At 40.2% G+C, this 19,267-nt stretch overlaps 1 protein-coding gene across 5 annotated transcripts in view; it reads right to left on the bottom strand.

Annotated features, from left to right (window-relative positions):
- SLC13A3 (solute carrier family 13 member 3) overlaps nucleotides 1–19,267 on the bottom strand; it is a 126,658-nt gene that overhangs the window by 91,283 nt on the left and 16,108 nt on the right. For 3 of the 5 annotated variants that reach the window (NM_001193342.2, NM_001193339.2, NM_022829.6), the window contains exon 1: nucleotides 2,201–2,349. The exons of the other annotated variants lie outside the window; for them this stretch is intronic. Coding sequence is in view for 2 of the 3 variants with exons in the window: in NM_001193339.2 (NP_001180268.1) it covers nucleotides 2,201–2,311 (111 nt within the window). In the remaining variant the exon portion in view is untranslated. Of the gene's footprint in view, nucleotides 1–2,200; nucleotides 2,350–19,267 lie in introns of those variants that run through there. 5 annotated transcript variants of the gene reach the window in all.

Consider the following 19,267-nt stretch of genomic DNA (forward strand, 5'->3'; position numbering starts at 1 on the left):
CATGGGACAAGCCTGACAAGCTCCTAGCATGGCCCCTAGCACATGGTAAGAGCTAAGCACTCAATAAAACACCTTCTTCATCAGGCTTAGCACCATCATAAGGGATTAGTTACATCCCAGGGGCTCTCCCTGTTATCTCTCCCTGCTTTCCATTCAGTTGTGCATGTTGGAGTTCAGATAGGAAGAGGATCCTTTGTGAAGCTCAAGCTTCAGACCTCTCCCAAGCCTCGTACCGAATCCTGTATTTGTAAATCTGTATTCATTTTCTTCAAGAGTCCCCCTCAAGTAGTAAATGCTCCCCGCCCCTTAACCCTTGGATCTGCTCCTGGGTTCATGTTCTTGCTAGAGAACAGAGCAGAGAGAAGCTGTCGGGACCCCTACTGAGAGAATAGAGACCTTGTGTTTTATCTCTTCTTGCCAGAGAGCTCTGCCTATGGCCTCGCAGACAGCAATCAGTCAAGGCTCAGCCACCCACACTTCCACCAAAGATGTTTCACAAAGCCTTACTCAACCTCTCACATCAATCCCAGAAGCTAGCGGTGTAATCGCTCCACTTACAGGGAAGCAAAACCCAAAGAGGAAAGGAGATTGGTCCAAGATCTTAAGATCCACAGGTCAGAAAGTGGCCTGGGGTGGGCTGAGTTTTGCAAAGGTGACCTCATCCTTCTTCCATCATTTATTGTGTTTTTCTCTTCCACGTCGAGAAAGTCTAATAGCTTAGATAATTCCACACTAATGAACTTGCTGTGTGTTAGCCCTGGGTCTCCTTGGAACCACTGGTGTCACCTTCTTACTCCATGTGCCCAAGGAGGGCTCCTTCTTCCAGGAGAAGCTCCCTGGTCTCAGCTGATCGGTGCTGGGTAATGCACCACTAAATTATACCTCCTCTTTACTTTTATTTTTGTGAACATTTAATACCTCACTGAGAGATGGTGAAGCAACTTCCTGGAGGTAGAAGCCTTATCTTACAAGCCCAGTGCCCTCTCATGATGCCCTGGCTGGGCTGGGCAGGGCACAGGTGAAGAACCCAAAAGGGACCTGTGGTACCATCTCCTTCCAGCCCCCACTAGTGTTGATTTCAGTTATGACTCCTGAACTCCACCTGCGGCCTTTGATCTTACAGGGGTTACTTCCTTGGGGAGACTGAAAACAGCTAGGGTTCTGGATTCTGACAAGCCGGGGACTGAATACCGACATAGTCACTTGCTGTGTGACTCTGAGCAAGTCACTTTCTCTCCCCGAGCCTTGGTTTTCTCCTCTGGAAAATGGGTCAAATAATCTTTCCCCTCTGAGACGCGTTGAAATGATTAAATAAAGTGATACACAAAAGGCAAATCCTCACCCGTAGTAAGCACTCATGAATCTTACCGTCCTCATCACGTAAGGACCTGGTGCAGAAAAAGACCAGTCACTGCTTATTGGGCATTTATTCTGTACAAGGTTTAGTTATAAGAGATTTACATATATTGCCTCATTGATATTCACCGCTGCCCTATGGGTGGGCACTATCATTTCTCCCATTTTTACACATGAGTAAACTGAAGTTCAGAGAGGTTAAGTGACTTGCACCATGTCACACAGCTTGGCACCCAGTAAGTGTTCATTGTGACTGTCGCGTGAAATGTGCAATACAGCACCAAGCACAGAATTAGAGCTCAGGAAAGAAAGAATTCTGCTAGGCACAGTGGTTCACGTCTGTAATCCCAGTATATGGGAGACCAAGGTGGGAGAATTGCTTGAGTCCAGGAGTTCCAGACCAGCCTGGACAACATAGTGAGACCCTATCTCTATTAAAAAAAAATTAGCTGGGCATGCACCTGTAGTTCTAGCCACTAGGGAGGCTGCGGAAGGAGGATCGCTTAAGTCCAGGAGTTGGAGGCTGCAGTGAGCTATGATCACATCACTGCACTCCAGCCTGGGTGACCGGCGAGAACCTGTCACTGAAACGAAACGAAATTATTCCCATGGAAGTGAGATCCAGAAGGCAGGGTGGGACTCAAGCTCTAAGGAGCAGCTGGGAAGAGGGAAGAGGCGTTAGGAGCGTTCACAGCGGTCCGCGGCAGGTGCAAGGGAGGGAAGGCGAGGGGGTCTGGTGGAGCCTGTCTACACTGGGACCTCAGCGGTCTCCCAACTTGGAGGCTTGGGAGAAGAGGATCCCGCCTGTGGTTGACCGGGGGCGCACAGGCGGAGGAGGCGTTACCTTGGGCGGGAGGGCGAAGACCACCGGCAGCAGCGCGAGCGGCGTGAACAGCAGCACCAGCAGCCGCCGCGCGCTCCACACCTTCTTGGCCGCTGCTGCCAGCGCCGCCATCAGCGCGATCGCCTGGCGGTACGGGCCGGCCCGGGACTGCCCCGCCTGGCCCCGGCGCCGGCTTAAAGCCTGGGGGAGGGTCGGGGAGGGGACTGCGCTGGGGAACCCGCCCTCTCCCTGCTCCTCCTGGAGGAAAAGGGTGGTGCCTGCGCCCCTGGGACCGGGTGAAAGAGGCCCGGGAACGTTGGAGAAAGTTAGGCACTAGAATTAGCAAACGGGACCCCAGCCGCAGGGCAGTGTGGCCTTGCCTCTTGGCTTCCCAGCAATGTGGCCTGGGGCAGCTGGCTTATCCTCTCCTCGCCTCTGTTTACTCGCCTGTGAGATGGCTGAGGATGACAAGGCGAGGATTAAGGCGCGTACTCCTATTACCCGGGTTCAAATCCTGGCACGGCCACTTACTCACTGCGTGGCCTTCAACAACAGCCTCTGAGCCTGAAAGTGGAGTGGTGATAATAATAGTCTACACCATGGAATACTATGCAGTCACAAAAAAGAAGGACATCATGTTTTTTGCGGGAACATGGATGGAGCTGGAGGCCATTATCCTTAGCAAACTAACACAGGAACAGAAAACCAAATGCCGCATGTTTTCACTTATAAGCGGGAGCTAAATGATGAGAACACATGGACACATAGAGGGGAACAACTGACACTGAAGCCTATGGGAGGCTGGAGGGTGGGAGGAGACAGAGGATCAGGAAAAATAACTAATGGGCACTAGGCTTAATACCTGGATGACGAAATAATCTGTGCAACAAATCCCCATGACACAAGTTTACCTATACAACAAATCTGCACATGTACCCCTGAACTTAAAAGTTAAATTTTTAAAAATAGTCTACACCAGACAAGAAGGTTGTTAGGAAGTTTAAATGAGATAACACATGTAATGTGATTAGCGCAGTGTCTGGCAGAGCAGGTGCTCAATGAGAGTTATTGCTGCTGATGAGTTATTCTTATTTTTGGGTTTTTTTTTCTTTTTTTTGAGATGTAGTCTCACTCTGTAACCCAGGCTGGGCTGGGGAGCAGTGGAGCGATCTCGGATCACTGCAACCTCTGCCTCCCGGGTTCAAGCAATTCTTCTGAGTAGCTGGGATTACAGGCGTGTGCCACCATATCTGGCTAATTTTTTTTTTTTTTTTTTTTGTATTTTTAGTAGAGATGGGGTTTCACCATTTTGGCCAGGCTGGTCTCGAACTCCTGGCCTCATGATCCGCCCATCTCGGGCCTCCCAAAGTTCTGGGATTACAGGTGTGCGTCACCACGCCCGGCCGTTATTCTTATTTTTTTTTAAGGGGGGTGAGTCACTTCTATTCACTTCTGATTATTCTCAGGTAACCATACAGGAGTGCAACTGTTGGGTTGCCCAGTATTTGCAATGCTTAGCTTTTTAAGACACTGTCAACCTGTCTTCCAAAGTGATTGTACTATTTTGCACTTCCATCAACAATGTATGAATCATCCAGTTTCTCCACATCTTTGCCAACATTTGGTGTTGTCACTGTTTATTTTATTTTAACCATTCTGACAGGGACATAGTAATAGCTCATTGTGGTTTTAATTTCTATTTCCCTAATGGCTAGTGATGTTTAACATCTTTTCACATGCTAATTTGCCATCTCTATATCCTCTTTGGTGAACTATCTTTTCCTGTCATTTGCCTGTTTTCTACTTGTATTATTTGGTTTTTTACAGTTGAGTTTTGAAAGTTCTTTGCAAATTCTAGATGTCAGTTCTTTGCCAGTTACGCTGTTTGCAAATATTTCTCCCCGTCTGTAGCTTGTCTTTTCAGCCTCTTAACTATATATCACCAAGCAAACATTTCTAATTTTGATGTAGTTAAATTTATCAAATTTTTCCTTTGGATGATCGGGTTAAGCTCTCTGCATAGCCTTAGACCCCAAAGAGTTTCTCGTATGTTTAGTTTGCTTTGTTCTCACAGAAGTGTCCAAGGAAGAGAATACAGTCATGGGTTCTTAGTTTCTGTTTCTGGTTGGGCCAGTAAAGCCCCTTCCTCATCCCTCTTTTCCACTCATCACTAGAGACAGAAACTAAAAACCATGGCTTCAGGCTGCTAAAAGCTTAAAACAAACAAACAAACAAAAAAAGAACAACAACAAAATAAGGCAGGTTGGACAAGCTTGTCAGAAGTTTTACAGTTTTGAAACACTGTATTCATTACAAAATAACTTCATTCTCTCCTCCCACAGCCTCTGGAAACCATCATTCTGCTTTCTGTCTCTATAAATTTGATTAATCTGGATAGCTCATACAAGCGGTATCATGGAATATTTATCCTTTTGTGATTAGCTTTGTGTCCTTAAGGCTCACCCATGTTGTAGCATGTGTCATAATTCCTTTTTAAGGCTGAATAATATTCCATTGTATGGATATACTATATCGTGTTTATCCATTCATTTGTTGATAGACATTGGGTTGTTTCTACCGTTTGGCTATTGTGAGTAATGCAGCTATAAACATAGGTGTACAAAGAGTATCTGTCTGAGTCCCTGCTTTCAGTTCTGGGTATATACCCAGAAGTGGAACTGCTGGATCATAAGGTAATTCTGCGCTTTTTGAAAATTATTATTGAGAAATGGCCATACTGTTTTTCACAGAGGCTGCACTATTTTACATTCCCACGATGTGCAAGGGTTCCAGTTTCACCACATCCTCACCAACACTTATTTTCTGTGATTTTTTTAAATAATAGCCATCCTAATAGGTGTGAAGTGGTATCCCACTGTGATTCTGATGTGCGTTTCTCTAATGATTATTGATGTTGAACATCTTTCCATGTGTTTATTGGCCATCTGCGTATCTTGTTTGGAGAAATGTCTATCCAGGGCCTTGGTCCATTTTTTTAGCATTTTGGTTTTTGTCACTTGCATGGCTTTTTTCAGTAATTGCTCTAGGTATTACATTGCATGTACATAACTTATAAGTTATAATCCACTGGTATTGCCATTTAACCAATTCCAGCAAAGCATAGAAACCTTACTTCATGCCCCTTTGCCTTACCCAGTTTAAAATACTTCTTTCAATATTTTCTCTACATACATTTAGAACCACATCAGTGTTTTAACTTTTCCTTCAGCTATCAGGTATAATTTTTTTTTCTTGTTGACATGGAGTTTTGCTCTTGTTGCCCAGACTAGAGTGCAATGGCGCCATCTCAGCTCACTGCAACCTCCGCCTTCCAGGTTCAAGTGATTCTCCTGCCTCAGCCTCCTGAGTAGCTGGGATTACAGGCACCCACCATCACACCCGGCTAATTTTTTGTATTTTTAGTAGAGACGGGTTTACACCATGTTGGCCAGGCTGGTCTCAAACTCTTGACCTCAGGTGATCCACCGGCCTAGGCAACACAAATTGTTGGGATTATAGGCATGAGCCACCATGCCTGGCCAAGAACTTCCTTTAATCATTCTTTGAGACCAGGTCTGCAGGCAACAAATTCTCTTAGTTTTCCAACATCTGAGAAGGTCTTGATTTCCCCTTGGTTCTTATTTTTGGTGGACATAGAATTCTGTTATTTTCTTTGAGCACTTGAGAAATGCTATGCACCTACTTTCTGGCCTCCATGGTCTCTGGTGAAAAATCTGATATCATTTGAGTTATTTCTTCTCCATAGGTAAGGTTCATTTCTCTTTCTCTTGAATAAATATTTTCCAAGATTTCTTTTTTTTGTCTTATGTTTTGAGAAGTTTGGCCATGATATGTCTTGGTGTGGATTTCCTTGGTTTACCCTAGCAATATTTGGAGTTCACTCAGCTTCTTGGGTCTGTAGATTTATAATATACACATACATATATACACATATATATACACACGTATATACACATATGTATACACATATATACACATATATACACATATATACACACACATATATACACATAGATATGTTCATTCATATATATATATACCAAATATACATATATGTATATATAAGCCAAAAGAGGTTTAATTAGCTCATGGTTATGCAGGCTTTACAGGAAGCATGGTGCTGGCATCTGCTCGGCTTCTGGGGAGGCCTCAGAGAGCCAACATGTATATATATGTGTGTGTGTGTGGTATATATATAATATATATTTTTATATAGTATATATTATATATACTATACAAAAATACAGATATACTACACAATAATATTCCATTGTATGGATATACCATATCATGTTTATCCATTCATTTGTTGATAGACATTGGGTTGTTTCTACCTTTCGGCTATTGTGAGTAATGCAGCTATAAACATGGGTGTACAAAGAGTATCTGTCTGAGTCCCTGCTTTTATACAAAAGAAAATAATATATATATACTATATATATATTTTATACAAAAGAAAATAGTATATATATGCCTTCAGTATATATAATATATAATACTGTATATACTATATATACTATACAGTATATATTATACTGTATATAATATATATACTGTACAGTATATATTATACTGTATATAATATATATACTGTACAGTATATTATATATACGTATATAATATACTACAGTATATATATACAGTATACATATATGTATATATGTATGTATATATGTATATATGTATACTACATATACTATATATACAGTATATATACATATACTACAGTATACTATATATACATATACTACAGTATACTATATATACATATATATTATATATACTGTACAGTCTATATTATACTGTATATAATATACCACACAGTCTATATTATACTGTATGTAATAGACTGTACAGTCTGTATTATATTGTATATAATATAGACTGCACAGTATATATAATACTGTATGTGATGTAGACTGTACAGTATATATTATACTGTATACTTATATAGACTGTACAGTATATATTATACTGTATATAATATACTATACAGTATATATTATACTGTATATGATATACTATACAGTATATATTATACTGTATATGATATACTATACAGTATATATTATACTGTATATGATATACTATACAGTATATATTATACTGTATATGATATACTATACAGTATATATTATACTGTATATGATATACTATACAGTATATATTATACTGTATATGATATACTATACAGTATATATTATACTGTATATGATATATACTATACAGTACATATATTATACTGTATATGATATATACTATACAGTACATATATTATACTGTATATGATATATACTATAGTGTATATATTATACTGTATATGATATATACTACCTATTATTATATATATAGCCAAATTTGGGAAGTTTTCAGCCATTATTTCTTTGAATAATTTTATGTCCCACTTTCTTTCTCCTCTCCTTGCATAATTTCAGTGATACAGATGTTAGCTCTTTTGCTGTAGTTCCCCCTGTCCCTGCAGCTCTATTTACCTTTTCAGTCTATTCTCTCTCTGTTGTTCACAGTGGGTAATTTCCATTGTTCCATGTCCCGGTTCACTGATCCTTCTGCCTTCTCCATTTGCTGTTGAACCCATCCGTTGTATAATATTCTTCAGTTATACAATTTTCATTTGATTCTTCTTTGTACCTTCTATTACTTTGCTAAGTCTTCTGTTTCTTTGCTGAGGTTTTCTACTTTTTTCGTTTGTTTCCAGTGTGACACATCACTGTCATCTTAATATTAAGCATCAAAAGTCAGTTTGACCAGCCTGGTCAACATGGCAAAACCTCATCTCTACTAACAAACCAACAAAAAAAGCTTTTGAGAAAAAGTTTGAAAAAAAACTTTTATCATGATCCGGGACATCATCAGAGAGCACTGAGCTTGTAAGATAGGGCTTCTACCTCCAGGAAGTAGCTGGGTGTGATGGCATGCTTGTAATCCCAGCTACTCAGGAGGCTGAGGCACGAAAATCATTTGAACCCGGGAGGCAGAAGTTACAGTGAGCCGAGATCGCACCACTGCATTCCAGCCTGGATGACAGAGTGCGAAAATGTCTCAAAAAAAAAAAAAAGTCAGTGTGAGACCTTCCACTTGTCTTATACAACAAGTGACTTTCGTTTGGAACCTGGACATTTTGGGTACTGTATTACGAGATTTTGGCTCTTATTTAAAACTTGTTTTTGCTGACTTCTTTCAGTGCTCTTGCAAAGGAAATGGGGATGTCACCTCATTACTACAAGACGAAAGTAGAAGTCCAGTTCCCCACCTCATCCTCCATTAATATCTGAGGTGGGGGGAGTTGTTAGGCCGTTTCTGCATTGCTATAAAGAAATATGTGAGGCTGAGTAATTTATAAAGAAAAGAGGTTTAATGAGCTCATCGTTCTGCAAGGTTGTACATGAAACATGGCGCTGTCATCTGCTCAGCTTCTGGGGAGGCCTTGGGGAGCTTTTACTCGTGGCAGAAGGCGAACCAGGAGCAGGCAGGTCACATGTCCAGAGCAGGAGCAAGGCGCTGGGGGGAGGTGCCACACACTTTTAAACAACCAGATTTCCTGAGAACTCATATCTCAAGGACAGCACGGATCCAACCCCATGACCCAAACACTTCCCACCAGGCCCCACCTCCAACATTAGGGATTGTATTTCAATATGAGATTTGGACAGGACAAACATCAAAACCATCTCAGGGGGGTTCATTACTGCTGGGGAGTGCTGGGAGTTCTAGCTCCCATCAGCCCTCTCCTGATACCTCCCTGGCTAGAGGAGTAGGAGTGCCTTGTCTTTGCTCCCCATGTGGCTTCCATTGACACTGCGGGAGGGTGGTGTCCTTGTTGCTGCTGGGTGGTAGTTACTTTGGAATACTGATACATGCAACACTCTAAATAAATATCAAAAAAAAACCCATTATGCTATATGAAAGAAGCTGAACATAAAAAAAACTACATTCTGCATAATTATATCTATATGAAGAGTTAAAAGAGGCAAACTTCAATTATAGAAACCATATAGTGATTGCCAAGCAATGGGGGTCAAAAGACAGGATCAACTGGAAACAGCATGAGGAAATGTATAGGGTGATAGATGTGTTCTGCTGACTGTGGTGGTGGTAATACAGTTGTATATAATTATTAAATTCCATCAAACTGATCATTTAAAATAGGTGAATTTTATTATATATAGTTATACCTCAATAAAGCCAGAACAGAAGTGCATTGAGGTCAGGTGTGGTGGCTCACACCTGTAATCCCAGCACTTTGGGAGGCCAAGGCAGGAGGACTGCTTGAGCCCAGGAGTTCGAGACCAGCCTGGGCAACACGGTGAGATCCTGTCTCTAATTTTTTAAATAAATTGTTTTTTAAAAGTGATTGAGTATATTTAGCGATAAAAAATATTCATTGGATCAAGTTGGCTGATCGTGTTCTTCAAATTTAGATTCTTAAAGTCTCCAATTCAATTATGGATTTGTCTATTTCTCACTTTAGTTCTGTCAATTTTCACTTCATAGATTTTGAAGCTCTGTTATTAAATGTGAACACACTTAAGATTGTTATGTCTTTATTGGTGGATTCACCTTTCTATCATTCTAAAATCTCTCTCTTTATCACCATAGATGCCCTTTGTGTTGAAGTCCACTTTATCTGATATTTAAATAGCCACAATAGTTTTCTTATGCTCAAAGTTTGTATTGTATATCTTTTCCACTTTTTTTAAACTGTCAACCTGTTTCTATATGTACAATGTGTTTATTCTATACAGTGTATTGATGAACTCTGCTTTTTTATCTAGTCTAACATTCTCTGATATTTTAATTGGAATGTCTAATCAATTTACATCTAATATAATTATTTATCTGGTTGGATTTAAGTGTCTTATTTTGCTATTAGTTTTCTATTTATCTTATTTGTTCTTTGTTCCTCTCTTCCTCCTCTCTTGCTTTCTTTTGTATCAACTGATTATATTTTGGTGCATTTTATTTCCTCTATTAATTTTTTAGCTTTTTTCTGTTTTATTATTTTAGTGGTTTCTCTAGAGATTATGATATGCATCTTTATCACAGTCTACCTTTGCACAATGATATATTATTTTAGGAACAATATAAGAGCCTTACAATAATGGTGGCCAAGTATGGTTGCTCATGCTTGTAATCCCAGCAATCTGGGAGGCTGAGGAGGGTGTTGCTTGAGTTCAGGAGTTTGAGACCAGCCTGGCCAACATGGTGAAACCTCATCTCTACAAAAAATACAAAAATTAGCTGAGCGTAGTTGCAGGCATCTGTAGTCCCAGCTACCGGGGAGGCTGAGGTGGGAGGATAGCTCGAGCCCGGGGAGGTGGAGGTTGCAGTGAGCTGAGATCACAGTACTGCACTCCAGCCTGGGTGACAGAGTGAGACCCTATCCCCCCCCCCCAAAAAAAAAAAGAAAAAACAAAGAAAGAAAGCCTTACAATAATGGAAATAATGTAAAAAAATTCCATTTACCACCCTCTTCTCTTCCTTTGTACTTTTATTGTCTTTTTAAATTTGTGTATTCTATAAACCCAAGTATGTGCTGAAGATAACTCATGCTAGCTTATGAGAAATGACTGTTACTCTTTCAGAAAATTTGTGAGCCAGCTGTAGAACTGATGGTAGCATGAAATCACCCATAGCAAGAATATTTACACCATGAAATTAATAAAATTCTATAAATAAGGGCTTTTCTTCCAGCAGCCAATTGTTAAACATTTACCAGAACACCACTGTTTGAATTACACAACATATTGTTTTAATTTTATAAACAATCAATAGTCTTTAAAAGACATGTATAAATTATATAAATAAAAGATAAATGTACTTTAAAAAGTATTTCATATTTTCCCAAATATTTACCCTATCTCTTCACTTCTTCCTGCAGATCCAGGATCATTTCTCTTTCAGGTGCTAGCATTTCTTTTACCATTTCTTATAGTGCTGGCTTGTTGAAAGGAAATTCTCTCAGCTTCTGTTTATCTGAAAGTATCTTTATTTTTGCTTTTGTTTTTGAAGTTACTTTCACCAGATATAGAAGTCTAGATTGACAATTTTTTTTCCTTTAGTACTTAAAGATCTCATTCCATTGTGTTCAAGTTTCTATTGTTTCTGGTAAGAGATTAGCCACCATTCATATCATTGATCCCCTGTAAGTAATGTCTGGTAAGAAATTAGCCACCATTCATATCATTGTTCCCCTGTAAGTAATGCCCCATTTTTATTCTGGCTACTTGTAAGATCTCTTTATCTTTCACTTTTCAGCAGTTTGACTGAAACGTTTAGGTGTAGTGTTTCCCTTATATTTATTTACTCGGAGTTTGCTGAGCTGCTTGGATCTGTGCATTGATGTCTTTCATCAATTTTGGTATATTTCCCGTCATTATCTCTTCAAATACCTCTTTTGCCCCATTCTCTCTCTCCTTTCCTTCTAGAATTCCAGTAACATTTATGTTAGAGCATTTGGTATCATCTTACAAATTTCAGACTCTTTGTTCTTTATTTTTTTCACTTTTCCTTCTCTACGTGTTTCAAACAGGCATTTTCTATTACCTGTCTTTAGTGATTCCTGTCTTTGTTGTGCCCAGTCTCTTATAGATCTAAGTCTTCATTTCTGATGTAGTATTTTTCATCTCTATAATTTTCACTAGTTCTTTTAATAGTTTCCAGGTCTCTGCTGAAGTTTTCCATTTGTTTATGCATGTTGTTCTTTAGATTCTTTCATTTTTAGAATTTTGTTGTAGATTTTTTAAGTCTCTGGGAATTCCAGAATCTAGGCCAAATCTGAATCTGCTTCTATTAATACTTTTCTTTAATGACTGTCACATTTTATTATTGTCTGTGTGGTTGCTAATCTTTGAACGCATTGTTGACATTTTTGTAAGAAAGAACAGTAGAGAATGAAGTAAATAATATTTACCTCCAGAAGGGGGTACTCCCCTTTTCCTGTAAAACCGATAGAGTATGGAATTAACCAGTCTTACCTGCAGTATGGAGTTAATCGGTTTTACCCGTAGTATGGAGTTAACCAGTCTTACCTGTGGTTGAACTGGATTTCAGCTTTGGTGCAGTTTTAGATTGTTTCAGTTCATCACTGGCTCCAAATGTTTTGAGGGTAGATTTAGAACTTTTCCTTCAGCAGATCTGAGACCGGAGCACTGGTGAGATTTTAGGAATCTGCCTTTGCTTCCCAGAAGAGTTACCCAGTTTGGGAATGTTGGGAGTTCTCTCTCTTGTGTAGAGCCAAGTTGCCATGGGGCTTTTTGGTCATTGGTGAGTTCTCTTTGTTCTCAAATCCTGCCCCCCATTTCCTGCACCTGGGAGGATTTTTTCAGCCTAGTTGTTGTTCATCTGGCCTTTGGAGGGCTATGGTTCTACACATTTTGAAGGTCTGGAATGACTGGTAGGGGTGTCTTTTCACTATAAGCTTCTGATAGTCAAAAGCCAGGCATGCCTGGGAGGGGAGGGAATCTCTCAATTCTTCTACCTCAGGTTTTCTGTCTGTTCTCCTGACCTGTTCCCCTGTGCCTACTTTTGAGAGTGTCTTATACTTAAGAGAGGCCCCTTGCTTTCAGGGGAATCCTTCTTATCCCTCCTTTTATCACCTGTTTTGGTGTAATATCCCGCACTTGATAAATCCCATGGTAAGACTTGGTGGGCAGATTCAGACCTATTCAGTGAGTAGAGTTTATCTCCATTATAAGCTACACAGAAGCTCTCATGTTATTGAAAATTTAGCTGGTTTCTTCCTGCCCATCCATGGCAGTCTCCTCTTTCTCCAGCAGTTGTGTTAGGATTTGGAGCAGCTATGAGTCTCTTCTCCCCCATTATGATCTTGGCATTTCCTCCTGGAGGTTAGCTCCTTTAGGTTTCTTTGTGTCCTCAGCTTTCCATGAAGTTTTTAAAACTATGATTTTATAGCTAATAAAGCCTATTTTGATGGGGTGGTGTTAGAGTGGGAGCAACAGTCTCTTATCATTTCCTATACTAGAACCAGAAGTGGAACTCTTTCCAAAAAAATAATAACAAAAACATGTTTCTAATAATGCCATCAGACATTGTTGTAGTCTATCAAAATACCAGGACCATTGGGTCATTCCTGCCTACCATGTGAAAGTCAAAGAATATTTCATTTGGGGGAAAAACTCAAGTCTTTCAAGATTAAACTCCAAGTAGAATACAGAGACTTATGGGTACCCGATATAGCAGACGAAAACGATATTACAAAAAGGAAGTAAGCACCTGCTATAGCAGGGAAAGGTTATATTACAAAAAGGAACTAAGCACACTGCTCAAACACTCTGGATCATTCAAGATGAACCTGAATCATCTTGAAATATACAACAAGATCCAAAATGTTCTGATGAGAAGTCAGCCAGTTGGTAACTCAGCTCCTATAGGCATGGCATGTTTGAGACAGCACTCTTTTGCTTTTGAATTGGGTGAGATTACCAAATGCTCATGAAGAATTTTTTCTTTGTTGTTGTATCTAGGAAGGGGTAAAAATTAGAACCTTGCAAAGTTCTGAAAATATAAATAAGAAACAAAGTAAATTATATGAGTTCAGCACTTTTGTAACTGACCTTGGTGTGAAGATATGAATTTATAAGTCTTATCAGCAATGAATTTGTGTATATTTGGTCTGCTGTTTAATATGCTTGAACCATTTGAAATAATCTGCTTGGGGGCTGGGCATGGTGTGTCACACCTGTAATCCCAGCACTTTGGGAGGCCGAGGTAGGATTGCTTGAGACCAGAAGTTTGATATCAGCCTGGGCAACATAGTGAGATATCATCGCTGTTTTAAAATAAATAAAATAAAATAAAAAAGAATCACCCTAGCTGGGTGCAGTGGCTCACACCTGTAATTTCAGCACTCTGGGAGACTGAGGCAGGAGGACCGTTTGAGCTCAGGAGTTTGAGATCAGCCTGGGCAACATAGTGAGACCCTGTCTCTACAAAAAAATTACAAAATTAGCAGGCCATGGTGGTGCACGCCTGTAGTCTCAGCTACTCGAGAGGCTGAAGTGGGAGGATTGATTAAGCCCAGGAGGCGAAGGGTACAATGAGCTATAATTGTGCCACTACACTCCAGCCTGGGTGACAGATCGAGACCCTGTTTCAAAAAAAAAAAAAAAGTTGGGGGGCTTTACCAAGATTTGTAATTGCAGTTTATATTGTTCAAGGGAATTTAATCAAGTTTGTGATCTATGTCAAATGCAAGGAATGTTGGCTTTCCAGCTTATTTATTCGTGAATAATAATGGCCACACTCACTACGTGTTTACTCCAGTTCAGGTCCTATTCTAAGAGCTTTACATGATTTAATTCATTGAACATTTAAATAACCCTATGAAATAGGTTCTATTATATTCCCATTTTGCAGAGGAGGAAACTGAGGTACAGGGAAATTGAGTAACTTATCCAAGGACACACAGCTACTGAGTGGGGATTCAAACCCAAGCAATTTCACTGCAGAGTCCACATGCGTAACCAACCACTACACTGTAATAACTCTAGTATAGGTGTTTATTAGATCTGGGCAATATGACTTTAATACTGAGCATTGAACAAAGTAGCAGTGAGTATCCTTCATGCACCAAATCCCTGAAAGTAGTAATATTAAAGGAGTTGTCGACAATGTGAGTGTATTCACTCAAGAGGCTGTTTCCCAACACTCATTCCCCTCAGATAACAAGGGTGCTACATGCACTTCTTTAAACTTCTAGCATGTGGTTCTCAACCCCGGCTGCACATTGGAATCACCTGAGGAGCATTAAAAGTGCTGATGCTCCATCCTCAGAGTCTGATTTCATTGTCTAGGGTGTGGCTTGGGCATCAGGATTTTTTTTAAGCTCCAAGCAGATTCTAAAGGGTAGCTTGGATTGAGAACCACTGTCCCTAAAAATCTAATTCATCCTTTGCCAGATTCTGGTGAAACCTGGGAAATGTGAACTGGCTTTTTATCACATCACGTCTAAAGGCTGAAGCGACCCTCCTGAGTTAGTACAGAATCTTGACACCCAACAGCTTTGGGGCCTGGGCATTGGTCTATGTTAGATGCCTTGTCAATGTTTACTTAACTATTAATAATATTTGAATACCTACCAGACTTGGTTTTGCTCATTAGCAAACTTGGGATTAATCAGACATACCTTTCACCATGTGTTTTACTCAATATTTGCTATATGGCAACCATATACCAGGCTGTATATACACTAATGAATAAGACTAAAAAATTAAAATCCCTGACCTCATGGAACTTAAATGATGGCAGGTGCAAATAATAAATAAATGAGTAAAATGTATTATAATCAAAAGATGAAAATATGACAAATCTGGGAAGAAAACACAAGGAAGCAGCAAAGGGAAGTTGAGAGTGGTGCTTTGGAGGTGCTGTTGTAGATAAGGTGGTCAGGGAAGCTGTCCATGAAGAGGACCCTAAGTTAAACCAAGACCTAAAGAAAGTGAACACATGAACTTCTGGGTATACAAAGGAAGCATTCCAGGAAGAAAGAGAAGTCAAACGCAATGGCTTTGAGGCAGCAGGCAACATGACAGGTCTTAGCATCATCAAGGAACTGGAGTGCAGAGACAAGGTCACAGCCAGCCAGCAAGGACTCAAAGTAGGATCCTGAAAGCCCAAGTAGGGATTTTCACACTCAGTGACAAGGGCAGCCATTGTAGAGATTTAAGCAGAGTGGCATATTCTGCTTTCATTTTTTTTTTAAGTCAGTGTTACTGAGATATAGTTCATATAGCATATAATTCACCTGTTTAAAAGTGAATATGTCAATTAGCCAAGCATGGTGGTGTGTGCCTGTAGTCCCAGCTACTTGGTAGGCTAAGACAGGAGGATCACTTGAGCCCAGGATGTCAAGGCTTCAGAGAGTGGTGTTTGCATCACTGCACTCCAGCCTGGGCAATAGAATGAGACACTGTCTCAAAAAAAAAAAAAAGTATGTGTAATGTAATGATTTTTCAGGACACTCACAATGCAACCATCACTACAATCAATTTAACACATTTTCATCACCCCAAAGGGAAATCTCATGCCCACTAACAGTCACTCCCTATCTCCCCACAACCTCCCCAGTCCCAGGCAACTACTAAGATACTTTCTGTCTGTATAGATTTGCCTACTCTGGACATTTCATATAAATGGAATCATATAATATGTGGTCCTTTTGTGTCTGGCTTCTCTGACTTAACATAATGCTTTCAAGATTCATCTCTGTCACAGCACGCATTGGTACTACATTTCTTTTTATTGCTGAATAATATTTCATTGTATGGGTGTATCCTACTTTATTATTCAATCATCAGTTAATACACATTTGGACCGTTTGAACTTTCTGGCTATTATGAATAATGCTGCCTTGACCTTTAGTGTACAAGTTTTTGGACATGTTTATATTTCTCTTAGGTACATACCTAGGAGTGGAATTTCTGGGTCATATGGTAACTCTATGTCTAACCTTTTGAGGAACTGCCCAACTGTTTTCCAAGGTGTCTGCACTATTTCACAATCCCACCAGCAGTGTATGCGGGTTCCAGTTTCTCTACATCTTCCCAGCACTTGCTATTATTTACCTTTTTTATGATAGCCATCCTACTGCGTGTGCTTTTTATTTCAAAGATAACTCAGGCTAAGACAATGGTGGCTTGGACCAGAGTAGTAACAGCAGAGGTGGTAGGAAAGGATTCAATTCTGGATATACTTTGCCAGCAGAGCTGGTAGGTCTTGCTGAAACTCTGATGAGGCTATGAGAGAGAGGAACTGGTACTGGGATCAAATGTGAGATGGTGGAATATTTCTCAAAGTGTGAGAGGAATACTAGTGAGGAAACACAGATAATTTTATGTCAGGCATTTAAATAACATTGAGTCACAGAAAGTGAAAGTTATCCTGTGTCACTTTTCTTCAACTCCTCATTATACCGTGGAGAGAGTCTCAGTTGGGTGTCAGTATCCCTTTAAGACCTCATCACCTATAAATCTTCCTTTGTAACAGACAGAAAAGGGTTTGGAGTCAGAAACATTGGGCTCTTGCTGAGCCAGGCAATATTGTTTTATTTTTATTTTATTTATTCTTATAACTACTTTTGACTGAAAGAGAGTGATTTTTTGTTTTGGTTTTGGTTTTGTTGCTTTGTTGTTGTTGTTGTTGTTGTTGTTGTTGTTGTTGTTGTTGTTGCTTTGAGACAGGGTCTCACTCTGTTACCCAGGCTGGAGTGCAGTCGTGTGATCACGGCTCACTGCAGCCTTGACTTCCCTGGCTTAAGCAATCCTCCCACTTCAGCATCCTGAGTAGCTGTAACTACAGGCGCACACCACCATGCCTGGCTAATTTTTAAATTTTTTGTAGAGATAGAGTCTTGCTATGTTGCCCAGGCTGGTCTCGAACTCCTGGGCTCAAGCGACCCTCCTGCCTCGGCCTCTCAAAGCGTTGGGATTACAGGCATGAGCCATCACACCTGGCTGTGATTTTCATTTTTTTATTAAAGCCTATGACTTTTTTAGAAAGCTCTCTGTTTAACTTATATCTATTTAAGTTTACAATGTAAAGCAACTCAAAGAAAAATGCCAAGTAACTTGGAGTGCAGGGAGTACGTGACAATGGCAAAATTCCAAAAATTTGAGGCCAAAATCTGAAATTTGGGAGACTACGAGATAGCAAGAGAAAGACCCAGGAAGGGGTGTGGCACTCACTTCCTATCCAGATCATGCTGATGCTGTTCCTATAAACACCGAGGGCAAGTTATTTCCCAACGGACCCATTCCAAGCTATGATGAAACTGTCTCCCATGACCTTTCAGGTTGGGACTTGATCCTGAGCCAGCCCAATAACCGGCTTCATCAAAGGCTCCAGACAACAGTGTATGGAGGGACAAAGGCCCTCCAGGGAGCACTTTGGACCTTCAAGGTCTGGGCATGGGAGGATGGGGTACTCCAAACTGGAAAAGGTATTTCTAGAGAATTGGATTCATTGACATCAAAGGAACTCTGGTCCATGCCCCAAAGTCTGAGTGGAGGCAGCTGGGACCAGGGCATATTTTACCGGTGGGCCTGGGTTGGATTCCCTGTTCCAGAACCAGCTAAGAGATTAAGAGTACAATATTTAGCATTAGAGCAGAGGTTTCAATCTGGTGGCCCAAATGTAGCCATCATCATAACAATATTAATATTAGCAAGCCCATATACCACACCTTACTATTTGCCAGGCTCCGTTTTCAGTACTTTACCTGTCTTAACTCATTCCATCCTTATAAAATCCATGCATTACTTGTGTGAGTCTATCACCCATGCATTAGACAAAGCTACATTCAAATTCTGGCTGGGCCACTTGCTCGTTGCTGGGCAGGAGGTTTCACTCAAACTGAGTTTCCTCATCTGAAACGAGAACTATAATGTGTACAGGCATATCTTGTCTCATTGTGTTTTACAGATATTGCATTTTTGTGACAACCCTACAGTGAGCAATTCTCTTGGCATCATTTTTCCAACAGCATGTGCTCACTTCATGTTTCTAGGTCACATTTTGGTAATCTTGCACAATTTCAAACTTTTTTTATGATTATATCTGTTATGCTGATCTGTGATCAGTGATCTTTGAAGTTACTATTGTAATTGTTTTGAGGTGCCATGAACTGTGCCCATATAAGACGGCAAATTTAGTGGATAAATATTGTGTGTATTCTGATTGCTCCACTGACTGGCTATTCCCCAATCTCTCTCCCTCTCCTCAGGCCTCCCTATTCCCTGAGATACAATACTATTGAAATTAGTCCAACTAATAATCCTTCAATGGCCTCAAAGTATTCAAGTGAAAGAAAGAGTCATACATCTCTCACTTTAAAATCAAAAGCTAGAAATGGTTACACTTAGTGAGGAAGGCACGTCGAAAGCCAACACAGGCCAAAAACTAGGCCTCTTGTGCCAAACAGTTAGCCAACTTGTGAGTGTAAAGGAAAAGTTCTGGAAGGAAATTAAAAGTGCTACTCCAATGAACACATGGATGATAAGAAAGCAAAACAGCCTTATTCCTGATAGGGAG

This window comes from Homo sapiens, chromosome 20, assembly GCF_000001405.40.
Source record: "Homo sapiens chromosome 20, GRCh38.p14 Primary Assembly".
NCBI classification, from domain to species: Eukaryota; Metazoa; Chordata; class Mammalia; order Primates; family Hominidae; genus Homo; species Homo sapiens.